This window comes from Homo sapiens, chromosome 2 (genome assembly GCF_000001405.40).
Source record: "Homo sapiens chromosome 2, GRCh38.p14 Primary Assembly".
In the NCBI taxonomy this organism is placed as follows: domain Eukaryota; kingdom Metazoa; phylum Chordata; class Mammalia; order Primates; family Hominidae; genus Homo; species Homo sapiens.
The window spans coordinates 8,823,070-8,835,741 of NC_000002.12; the positions used below are offsets into that span (position 1 = coordinate 8,823,070).

The 12,672-nt window shown below is 40.2% G+C and overlaps 1 protein-coding gene across 16 annotated transcripts in view; it reads right to left on the minus strand.

The window, feature by feature from the left end:
* The window catches only part of KIDINS220 (kinase D interacting substrate 220), a 116,533-nt gene that overhangs the window by 101,989 nt on the left and 1,872 nt on the right, over nt 1-12,672 (minus strand). For 15 of the 16 annotated variants that reach the window (NR_145965.2, NR_145964.2, NM_001348741.2 and 12 more), the window contains exon 2: nt 3,917-4,060. Coding sequence is in view for 13 of the 16 variants with exons in the window: in NM_001348741.2 (NP_001335670.1) it covers nt 3,917-4,024 (108 nt within the window). In the remaining 3 variants the exon portion in view is untranslated. Of the gene's footprint in view, nt 1-2,673; nt 2,845-3,916; nt 4,061-12,672 lie in introns of all 16 variants that reach the window. The other variant, NM_001348736.2, reaches the window with a different exon arrangement.

The following is a 12,672-nucleotide window of genomic DNA, read 5'->3' on the forward strand; positions in this document are numbered from 1 at the left end:
GGGTCAAGCAATCCTCCCACCTCAGCCTCCCAAGTAGCTAGGTCTAAAAGGTGCCACACCTGGCTAATATTTTTTAGAAGTAGGGTCTCACTACAGTGCCCAGGCTGGTCTCAAACTCCTAGGCTCAAGAGATTCAGCCTCTCAAAGTGCTGGGATTACAGGTGTGAGCCACCACATACAGCCTACCCACATTATTTTAATTGATCTAATACTTAAGAATCTTTCTCAAAACTGGTAACCAAACACATTAACATGAAGTTACATAAATATTTTTTAAAATGAGAATAAAGGGGAAAAAATACAAACAACTTTTTGTAATTCTATAAAAATTACACTTTATCAGAAGTTGTAAAAGCAAAATGCTAAAAAAAAAAAAAAAAAATACCAACTTTTACACTGAGCCATAACTGAAAAAGCCTAGATGGTTTCAAATTATCACGTTAAAACTCCAATTTAAATTGATACAATATTAAACTGGATATGTTAATTAATATCCATTAAATGCTTATCTCGCATGATGCTAAATTAAGCTCTATGCCAGTGCTTTACTCCTTATAGCAATAAGATTAATTTTACGCTTATTGATGTGCTATTTTTTCCTTCCAAGTGAAGCTGTTTTCTTAGCATTCCCTAGACAAGTGTCTCTAAAGTAAAATTTAATGTTTTGAAACTATCATATGGTTATTCCAAATATGCTAACATATGCTAACAAAATGACTACTTCTGTAATCTTTTTGTAACAACCTCCAATTATAAATGTTATATCTTATCTATGTATAACAACTTTTGACTATTCATAATCATTGAAGGGGGTAATGATGTTAACTAATGAAAATATATTTTGTTCAATATAGAAACATTGAAAATATAGGCATTATCATTAAATAAATTTTATTCTGAAGACTCAAAAAAAAAACATAGAGCTTACACAGATTATAATTTGTTTAAAGTCAAATAGAGCAAAGTTCAAATATGGACTCTACCAAATAATATCTTAGATAGGAAACTGAGGAATTCAGTCATTTACTCATAAATAAAGATAAATAACAGTATTATTCTTTATACAGCTGCTACGCAAGTTAAATGAGCTAAGATATAGAAAATATATACCAGAATATTTGCATAAGTATTCAATAAAAACATTAGCTATTATTCAATAGCTAATGAAAATGAACGAAAACATTCAATAAAAACATTAGCTATTATTGTAATAACAACATTTTTATATCAACATTTCCTTAACGACTGAGTTAACATTAAATGATATTAGGTACCACAGGTCAGAAAAAGTAATAATAAAGTAATTCAGCAGCTTTAAAAACATTTATACGTCAGGCATGATGCCTCACGCCTGTAATCCCAGGACTTTGGGAGGTCGAGGCGGGCAGACAGATTGAGTCCAGGAGTTGGAGACCAGCCTGGGCAACATGGCAAAACCCCATCTCGACTAAGATACAAAAAATTAGCCAGGTATGGTGGTGCACACCTGTGTCCTAGCTACTTGGAGGGCTGAAGCAGGAGGATCGCTTGAGCCTGGGAGGTCGAGGCTGCAGTGATCCCTGATTCTGCCACTGCACTCCAGGCTGGGCAATGGAGTGAGAACCTGTCTAAAAACAAAAAACACAAGCAAAAACATGTATAATATTTGCACACCCATGCTTATAGCAGCATTATTCACAATAGCCAAGGGATGGAAGCAACCCAAATTTCTAGCCACAGATGAATAGACCAAGAAAATGTGCTACGTACATACAATGAAATATTATTCAGCCTTAAAAAGGAAGGAAATCCTGTTACGTGCTATAACGTGGATGAACCTTGAGGATATTATGCTAACTGAAATAAGCCAGTGACAAAAAGACAAACAGTATATAAGTCCAATTACATGAGGTGTCTAAATAGTCATATTCATACAAATAGAAAGTAAAACGGTCACTGCCAGGGTTTAGGGAGAGGGGGAAAGGGAGAGCTGCTGTTTAATAGACAGAATTTTGATTTTGCAAGATGAAAAAGTTCTGGTAGACCGGATGCAGTGGTCATGCCTGCAATCACAGTACTTTAGGAGGCCGAGGTGGGCGAATCACTTGAGGTCAGGAGTTCGAGACCAGCCTGACCAACATGGTGAAACCCCATCTCTACTAAAAATATAAAAAATTAGCCAGGTGTGGTGGCGCACGACTGTAGTCCAAGTTACTCAGGAGGCTGAGGCATGAGAATCACTGGAAGGCAGGGGGCGGAGGTTGCAGTGAGCCGAGATCACACCACTTCACACCAACCTGGGTGACAGAGTGAGACTCCGTCTCAAAAAAAAAAAAGAAAAAGTTCTGGAATCTATTGCCCAACAATGGAGAAATACTTAATACTCCTAAACTGTATCCTTAAAAATGGTTAAGATAGTAAAGACAATAAATTTTATGTTATGTGTTTATCACAATAAAAAAATTATAAATAAAACTTTTTATATGTCTACACAAGATATATATGTAAGCAAATATATACAAACACATAAGTATATATACATACACATACACATATAGTGTAAAATAAAAAACCACTCCTTATTCATCTTATCTACTGGCAAGAAATATTATACTCTTGAAAACACACACAGTTCTAAGAGACAGGGTTGTTTTCCTTAAGTTTTGTAAAACAAACACATACCCTGATACTTACAATATTTATACAAAACTGTATTAGCACCTAAAATGTCCTGCCAAATAATAATAGCTTGGCTTGCCGGACGCGATGGCTCACACCTGTAATCCCAGCACTCTGGGAGGCCTAGGTGGGTGGATCATGAGGTCAGGAGACCATCCTGGGTAACACGGTGAAACCCCATCTCTACTAAAAATACAAAAAAAAAAATTAGCCGGGCATGGTGGCGGGCGCCTGTAGTCCCAACTACTCGGGAGGCTGAGGCAGGAGAATGGCGTGAACCTGGGAGGCGGAGCTTGCAGGGAGCCAAGATCCTGCCACTGTACACCAGCCTGGGTGACAGAGTGAGACTCCATCTCAAAAAAAATAAAATAATATAAAATAATAGTTTGGCTTTTCATAATGAACTAAGATCCACATTTTTTACCTCATAACATTGAGGAGAAATATCTCATTTGAGTTAATGTTTATTAGTGTGTTACTAAATATAATACATAACCTATTTAACTCTCTAATAAAGATGTAGGGTTTTTAATAATCCCAAAGTGTGTGGGACAAACAATGGAGGATGATAGTTGGGGCTCATTAAAGAAAGTATTTCAGGCAGGGCGGGGTGGCTCACGATTGTAATCCCAGCACTTTGGGAGGCCAAGGTGGGCGGATCAACTGAGGTCGGGAGTTCAAGACCAGCCTGGCCAACATGGAGAAACCCTGTCTCTACTAAAACTACAAAATTAGCCGAGCGTGGTGGCACATGCCTATAATCCCAGCTACTAGGGAGGCTGAGGCAGGAGAATCACTTGAACCTGGGAGGCGGAGGTTTTGGTGAGCTGAGATCGTGCCATTGCACTCCAGCCTGGGCAACAAGAGTGAAACTCCATCTCAAAAAATAAAAATAAAAATAAAAAAGAAAGTATTTCAACAATCCCTGATTTTGTCTGGTTAATCAAGATCAGGTCCAGATGATCTGTAAAGTTTCACAGAAGTACTTGATTTCAGTAATCAAGCTTCCTGAATATTAATTATTCCATCAGGGGAAAAAAAACAATAAATCTAAATTCAACAGTCATTTATATAAGTTAAAATGTACTCCAAAAACATGAAATTTGAAGTACTTTTAACTATAAGACATTCTATCATAAGTACAGTGCAGTATTACTAAGGGTTAGAACTACCTATTTCTTACACACTTCTATCCTATACATAGCAGGCAGTCAACAAATATTTGTGAAAGAATGTAATTTTGCAAACTTGGTCTTACCTCATTTCTCTCATCTACATCTTTGCATTTTTCAAGAAGAGCTTTCAGAGCAGGAATGTTTTCTTCCTCTACATAATTTATGACGCTCTGTGATATCAAAACTGACATTTTCACAGAAAGCTGCAATTAACTTTATTTGAATACCTGTTAAATTAGACAAAATACACATAATTTATAATTAGAAAAAATTAAGTTACTATTAAATACAATATCCTTCTTAACATTAACCTCATGCAAGGACACCTCCAGTGGCAGAAGTGAAGATACGACTTCCCACGGCTTCCATAGCTCAGGTGTCAAAAAGCTGCCGTGATGTCTCTTAGGTTCACACTCACCTCCATCTTAACTTATCCAAACACCAAACTCCACATCCATCCCCAAACCCTCCTCATCACCACTCCAAAATGCTCCCCTGCTCCTCCTGCTGTCACCATGCCAGTAAACGGCAGCTCCAGGTCCATTCTTCCAAGGCCAAAAGCATTGAAATTGTTCATGACTTACCTCTTCCTCTTACACCCTACACTCAATCTATTAGCAAATGCTTTTGGCTCTACCTGTAAAATACATTTCACATCTGACTACTACTCACCACTTCATCACTGCCACCCTGGACGAGCCACCGTGACTCACCTGCGTCACTATCATCGCTTCCTAACTGGCCTCCCTGCCTCCACTTTACCTGGAAGAGTGGATTTTAAATGGTCTCACTGCAAATAAATAATTAAGTATGGGAGGTGATGAATATGTTAATTAGCCTGATTTGATCATTCCACAATGGATACATGTATCAAAACATCACATTGTACCCCTAAATATATATAATTTGTCAATTAAAATTACATTACTTTTTTTAAAACTTTAACATATATCAGAATCACCTGAAGAGCTTTTAAAGCAGATTCCTGGGCCCCACCGTCAGAGATTCTGACTCAGCAGGTCTGAGTGGGGCCCCTGACTCTGCATCTTTATCCAGCTCCCTGTGACACTGACAACACTGAGGAAGAACCACAATGTGAGCAGTACTAAGTCAGAGCATGGCCTCTTTTATTCAAAGCCCTCTAAGGGCTTCTCGGGGTGCTCAAAGTAAAATCAAATGTTTTTACCTTGGCCAAGATAACTCTTCAGTGGCAAGCCTCTCACCTGTGTGACACCTGTGACTGTAGCTCCTACCACCCCCTCTCACCCTCCTGGCTGCATGGCCACACTGAGCACCGTCCCACCTCGCCAGGCCTCTGTGCTACTTTTCTGTCTGCCTAAAATTCTCTTCCACAGGACATGCACACGGCTTACCCCCTGACCCCGTCAGGTCACCTGGTTACAAAGTCTCACCGGATGTGGGATGTCAGGGTACCGACCCCACACAGGCTTCACTGTCACCCTGCACTCTCAACCCTTTGTCCTGCTTTCACTGCTCTCCACACCACTTGCCACCATCCAAAAAATGACATATTGTTCACTTATTGTCTGTCTACCATAACTATAAGTTCTAAAAGAGTAGAAATTTTATTATATTCAACTGGACATCCAAATGCAAATAAATAAACCTCAATCCATACTTTGTACCACATACAGGTGCTAACTCAAAATTGACCTAAATATAATGTCTGAAAGTACAAAACTTCTAGAAGAAAATATAGATGACTTCAGTGACCTTAGATTAAGAAAGATTTGATATAACACTAAAAGCATGGTGCATAAAAAAAGAAAACTGATAAACCAGAGTTCGTCAAAATTGAAAACTTTGGCTGTTATGAAAATGAAATTATTTGGGACTGGTGAATCCTCTTTGCCTTCCTTTTCCTCCACCCTTGAACAGGACTGTCTATAACTGATATCCCATGCCCATTCCCTAACTCTAAGTTGGAGCAGATAACTTGATTCTTGCGTTTCCCAGGTGGAAAGGAATCATGCCTCTGGATGGACTACACCCAGACCCTCTCATACCTGATTTAGATGATGAGATTTAAATGAGACTGTGGACTTTGGGTTGATGCTGAAATGAACTGAGACTTTTGGGGAGGCCTTGCGATGGAGTGAATATGTTTTGACACAGGAAGGAAATCTATCTCTGGGGGCCAGAGGGCAGAAACTATAGCACTATATGATTCTACTTATATAGCATTCTGGAAAAGGAAAACTGCAGGGGCAGAAAACAGATCGGGGCTGCCAGGGTCTAAGGCAGGGGAATGAGATGGCTACAAAAGAGTACAAGAGAATTTGGCGAGTTAATGGCTGTTCTATATCTTGACTGTTGTGGCAGTTACACAATCATTCGTTTGTCAAAATTCAGAACTGTCCATTAAAAAGGGTGAATGTTATTACATGTAAAGTATAAATCAGTATACCTTACTTTTAGGGAGTATATATTCAGAACAACTTGAATTTATACTCTTGGGGTGAAAAACTATTATTTTAAAAAATGATGTTATTTGATCCCATAGTTGCACTTCTAGGAATTATTCTAAAAACATGAGAAACATGAACAAAATTTTAAGATTTTAAGTAAAACAATTTTATCCATAAGAACAAAAATCTTAGAAATGGATATTATATAAATTATAAAAATTCACAAAGTAGGATAATATACAGTCATCAAAATGTCTCAAAAAATGTGTTACAGAAAAATGCTCATGATAGAAGAAGTGAGGTAAAAGATTAAGAGCTATATATACAGCATCTCAGCTATTTTAAATGTATACATTTTTAAATACTGGAAATAAAAAAAGAACAAATGGTGATGGGCATTAGTGTAATTTTTATTTTCTTTAAAACCTTTATCTCCTACATGTTCTGGAATGTGATGCTTCTATCATTAGAAAGCAGTGAGGGTTTGTATTAGCAGTCATCACCAACACCTACCTTCATTTATTCCCACTCCTTCTAGGATCAAGCCTAAGGCCTCAGTGAGGTTTGCAGGATCTGGCTCTCCCTCTATACCAGCCCCAGCTCACCCCACAGCCCAGCCAAGCAGAAGAACTCAAATTCACCACACTCCCCCAGTGCTGCTCCACACTCCCGCCTATGCTCAATGTGCTCCTTCCATGTAGAACACCATCCTCATCTCTACTCTACCAAGGCACCCATCTCCCTCTGAGTCACACAGCTACCATTTTTCATCCAGTTTACCCCCTAAAGTGTGAGATCACCCAACCCCACACTCAGTGCCTTAGTTTAGACCTTCACCATCTATACTAATCAAGACCCCTAAGGTTGCAAGAGACTAATTTAAACTAGCTTAAGCAAAACAGAAAAATGTATTTGAAGGATAATGGTTTATTTCCCATAACCACACTACAGGAAGAGTGGGTGCCACTGGACCTCAAATGCCAGGAGGATTCTCTTTCTCTACTGGCTTAATCTACTTTCCTTCTAGACCAACTACTTCTACACAAAGGGAAATATGGCTTCCCACAGCCATCCAGCCTCAAATCAGATCGTTTATTTATTTTTTGAGACAGGGTCTCACTCTGTCACTCAGACTGGAGTGCAGTAGCACGATCATGGCTCACTGCAGCCTTGACCTCTAGGGCTCAAGCGATCCTCCCACCTCAGCCTCCTGAGTAGTTGGGACTACAGGTGCACACCACCATGCCCAGCTAATTTTTCTATTTTTTGTAGAAATGAAGTTTCACCATGTTGCCCAGGCTGGTCTCAAACTCCTGGGCTCAAGTGATGCGCCTGCCTCTGCCTCCCAAAGTGTTGGGATTACAGGTGTGAGCCACCGCACCTGGCCTAAATCAGATAGTCTCTAACACCAGAGAAAGCAGGCTATTCTTTGTTCCCAGATCCAACAGTCCCAGAAAAGGGCTCTGACTGCCCAGGCTGGATCTGTTGCACACCCAGAACCAAGCAACTAGAGACACAAAGTTGGGAGGGGGTTACAAGGTCACACCATATTGGCACTGTTTCCAGAAAAGAGTAAACAGTTGTGATCTAGGCATCAATCCTAAAAACTTCTACTACACCATCTCTCACCCAGATCAATGTGACAGGCTAGCAACTTTTGCCTCCTCTCTCCAGGCCTGCCACCTGCAATCCATTTGCCACACTGAAGCAAGAGTGACCTACAATACATCTCTCCTAAAACCAAGGTTGGGAGGACAGATGACAGCTTTACTACTTACAAGTTATTCAAGGAACTTACGCCTTCTAAGGCTTTTAAAGCCATTGTAAAGATGCAAATACACAATTCCTACGGAAAGCTTTGCTCTCCACTGAGCAGAGTGAAAACTCAGTAAGTTCAATTCTTGATTATGATGAGGGCATGCAGATTCTTCACAATCTGGCCCCATCTTACCATTCCAGCCTTATCTTTCTCCCCTCCTCAGCCCCATCCCTCCCACCCTCTACATAGTCACATCTACACCTCCAGCTCCAGCCAGACTGATCTACTTGCAGCTCCTTCACTGCCCCACACTTTGTTCTTTCCAGACCTTTGCACTTAATGCCCCCTCTGCTTAGAAAGTCCATTCTCCACGTATATATGCCTGAACAGCTCCTACCCATCCTTAAGAACATGGCTCTAACAGATCTTCTGGAAGCCTTCATTGACTGGCTGCTTACCCCAAGCTGGGCCAGGCCCTGGGCTCCTCCACACCTGTGTATACATCTAGTTGTAGACTGCTCACATCACACTCAACTCTCCTCTCCATTTTACTCACTCTCTCCACATCTCCCTTAGACTAGAAGTTCTTGCAGCAGGATCTGCTTTATATCTAGCACAATGCCTACACAACAGGAGGTGAGAGAGAAAAGCAGCCCCTGACTGTCGGGAACTGACCCGGCACACACAGCCAGACTTGGTGTTCTAACATAAATGCAACAATTTCAAAGAATGCCAACATCAAACAAGGTCACTCTGTCACCAGGATATGAAGACAAAAATAAGACTACTCTGGAATCATATCTGAACATAGACAAAAACATGAACATCACCCAAACCACAAAATGCCCAAACATCTTCCTATCGTGGCTAATATGAAGCATTGCTGCTTCTTTATCAATTACAGCTTTAGCCTTACTCCATACCTCTTGCCTTTTCGTTAAGATTTTAAATATCCAATTGCAGAATTCCCACTCCTCCTTATTCCTGAAGCACCCGAGACTGAGCAAAGCTTTGCTTCCTTGAACTCTTCCCCGAATCACCTAACATCATCTCGAATCTTCTAAGTCCTTTCTAACAACCTGTTACAGAGACCCCCAACGTTCCCTAGGACAGGCATTCTCCTTCATTGCAGGGAGTTAATAAGACCAACTTTGTTCAACTAGAGGTATGTTCCTGGCAGTCTTTGACTAGAGGGCACTGACAGTGTTTAATAAATTTCACTGAATAATTGATTATTAAATGTCATAAGATGTTTGTAAGCACATATATAAGTGCCTAGAAATTACAAAATAAAATTAGAACATTAAATCCACATCTGTTGATACACACAATAGTAAAACCAATGACACGCTGTCATGTTTAAGAGCACGTGTGTAGTATAATTCTACTTGATAAAATAAATAAGACCCCCATATATGTATCTATCCAGTGTGTACACATGAACAAAAAGAAAAGTGTGGAAGGACACACACCTGGCTGTAAAATTCGTTATCTTACCATGTAGGACTAAAAGGAGGAGATGATTAGCTTTGCCTTCACGCGTCTTTGTGCTATATTGTTTTACTTGATGTATTAAGTCTACGTTCATTTTCAATAGAAAAAAAAATGTTTCATCACAGGAGGAAAACTACAGCTTCTCATCTTTCACATTTCAGTTCAACGTTCACTTCCAAAAGCCCTTTCGGCTTAAAACGAAGCTGTCTAGTGGTCAAAAGTATGGACCCTAGAGCCAGACTACCTTGGTTTGACTCCTGACTTTACTACTGACCATTATATCATCCCAGGCTAGTTTCTTTTTTTTTTCCTTAATTTTTTTAACTAATACATAATAATTGTACATGTTTATGGGGTATGTGTAATATTTGGATTACATGCATAGGATGTGTGATGATCAAATCAGAGTATTTAGGATATCCATCACCTCAAACTTTTCTCATTTCTTGGTGCTGGGAACATCTCAAATCTTATCTTCTAGCTACTTTAAAATATACCATAAAAAATAAAATACACAATAAACTGTTAAGCATAGTACCATGCTGCTGAACACTACAGCTTACTCCTTCTACCTAACTGTATGTCTGTACTTATTAACCAGCCTCTCTTTATCACTCCCTGTCCCCTGGGGTAGTTTCTTCACCTCAGTGTCTGAGTTTCCCCATCTTCAAATAACTGCACAATTACATGCAATGGGATTAAAATAATACCTAACCCATATGAAGCCAATAAATATTAGCTGTTTTACATAATAACAGAATATGATCATTTCTTAACCACCCTTTCTTGGTTGATTCTCATAACCTGGATTGTTCTCTATTATGGAATCTTTTTTATTCCTTCATAACACTTTACTAAACTTGTAATTTACATATTTATGTTTTTTAAATTTGTCTTTTTTTTTTTTTTTTTTAGCTACACCTGCTGGAATGGGACATATTTACCTGATTAATAGCTGTCTCTCCCACTAGGATATAAGCTTTTAAAAGGAATGAATTATTTTCTTTCGTTCTATACCAAATACCCAACACTTAGCTTAATAGCTGGCCCATACAAGACACTATATTTCTTGAATAAATGGACATCAGTTGAATCTAATGTCCACAGCACTTTCTCTCTAATGGGAATATAAGGCTATACATTCTTTTGCACAATTAGCAAAAAAATTAATGTCTTGCCACCCGTTTTGAAAATGGCAGATGTAGCCAACAGCAATGTCAGAACAAAAAATTTATGTTGTAGTAAGTCCATTTTTAGAACTTGCCAATTTAATAGGCAAAATCTCTAAATGTATTCAAAATGCTTTCACCAAAAGGCCAATCGGTTAATAGACGCACCCTATAACTTTTCTCCGGTTACAGACACAGTGCATGAAAGCAACAATAGTGCCATGCTGCCCAAGGCTTACTTATTTCTTATCCTCCAGATACGACACAGTAAGTTCCTGAATGTGGCCCCTCCCATGGTTCTCTATCTCCAGCCCCTCTTCTCCTCCTCCCACTTAAGTCTCCAGCAACAATCACCCCTGTGCAGTCCCCAGAGCCTACCCTGGTGCTGACATTCCTGGGCCTGGGTGGCAGCGCTTGCCCCCTCCACACAGAGGCCTAAGTGGTCCTCCTGAATCGTGTCTTCTTACAACCATTCTGTGCTCAAAACATCCCAACGGTTGTCCTCTCACTCAAAATCCCAGATCCCTACCAGGGCCAAGGCCTTGCTTGATCTATTCCACCCCTTCTCCACCTCCCTAAGCTCAACTCTTGCTGCTCCTTCTCCTTGACTCTACTCAGGCCACAGTGACTTTCTGTACATACGTCACCTGATCAGAGCTTCTCTGACCACCGTGTATAAATGGTGTATACCATTTATACGTGTATAAAACAGCCCTCTCCCCCTCTACTATATCCCCCTTCCACAGCCCTACTTTAAAGGTCTTCTTTATAACACCTAGCATCACTCCACATACCACATACTTTGTTTTTGGTCTGCTTCCCCTAGCCAAACAAATGTAGCTCAATGAGAATAAAGACTATCTGTTTTGTTTACTGCTGAATCTCCAGCACTTAAGAGAAGTGCCTGGTACACCACAGAACCCAGTATCGGTAGAATGAATGGACATGCCCAAGCTGATCCAACCACCTGTAATGCCTGACCCAACTTTAACATTCTTAACAAGCCAAAACACACCCTTCAAAACCCCCCTCGCGGGTCACCTATAAACTAACTTATGTATGTATATGTATGTATGTATGTATGTATTTAGTTATTTATTTTTATTGAGACAGGGTCTGGCTCTATTGCCCAGGATGGAGTGCAGTGGCACATTCATAGCTCACTGCAGACTCAAACTCCTGGACTCAAGCGATCCTCCTGCCTCACCCTCCCTGAATAGCTGGGACTACAGGTGCATGCCAACACACCCAGATCATTGTTTACATTTTTAATTTTTGTAGAGACAGGACTTGCTATATTGCCGAGGCTGCTCTTGAACTCCTAGCCTGAAGTGATCCTCCTGCCTTAGCCTCCCAAAGCACTGAGATTACAGGTGTGAGCCTGCATGCCCAGCCTTGAACTAATTTATTAAGGGCTGTCTCTCTCCTTCATTCTTACATCCCCAGAACCTATTACAGATCTAGAACAGGTAGAAACTTAATAGATAACCATCAAATTAAATAACTGCATAGGTATGCTAAAGATACCTCTTCTGAAGGACTTTGCCCACCCACAGCCCCTGCTACCCTCAACAGCCATGTTCTCTAGCATCAGCCATTCCCAGGGATGGGCATATGATCTGTGGCATGAAACTGTTGAAAAAGATAAGCTGGGCCAATCAGACTTCTCTCTCTAGAACTGGGAATTAGAAACCAGAGACTGGGCCAATCAATATGGGTCACACATAAAATGATACAGTTCTGAGACAGCCAATCAGCAAAGAGAGAATACAACAGATATGAACAGAAAAGAGACTCCTCCTAAGTAAGAGAACAAATGTGGCCCCTAAGAGGAGGTCAGGGCTGCAGTGAGCCAAGATCACACCACCTGCACTCCAGCCTGGGCAACAGAGCCAGACCCTGTCTCAAAAAAAAAAAAAAAAAAAAAAAGTTGCCCCAGGGAGATGTAGAAAATGGAGGTACCTGGGATCCTGACTTCTTTCTGACTC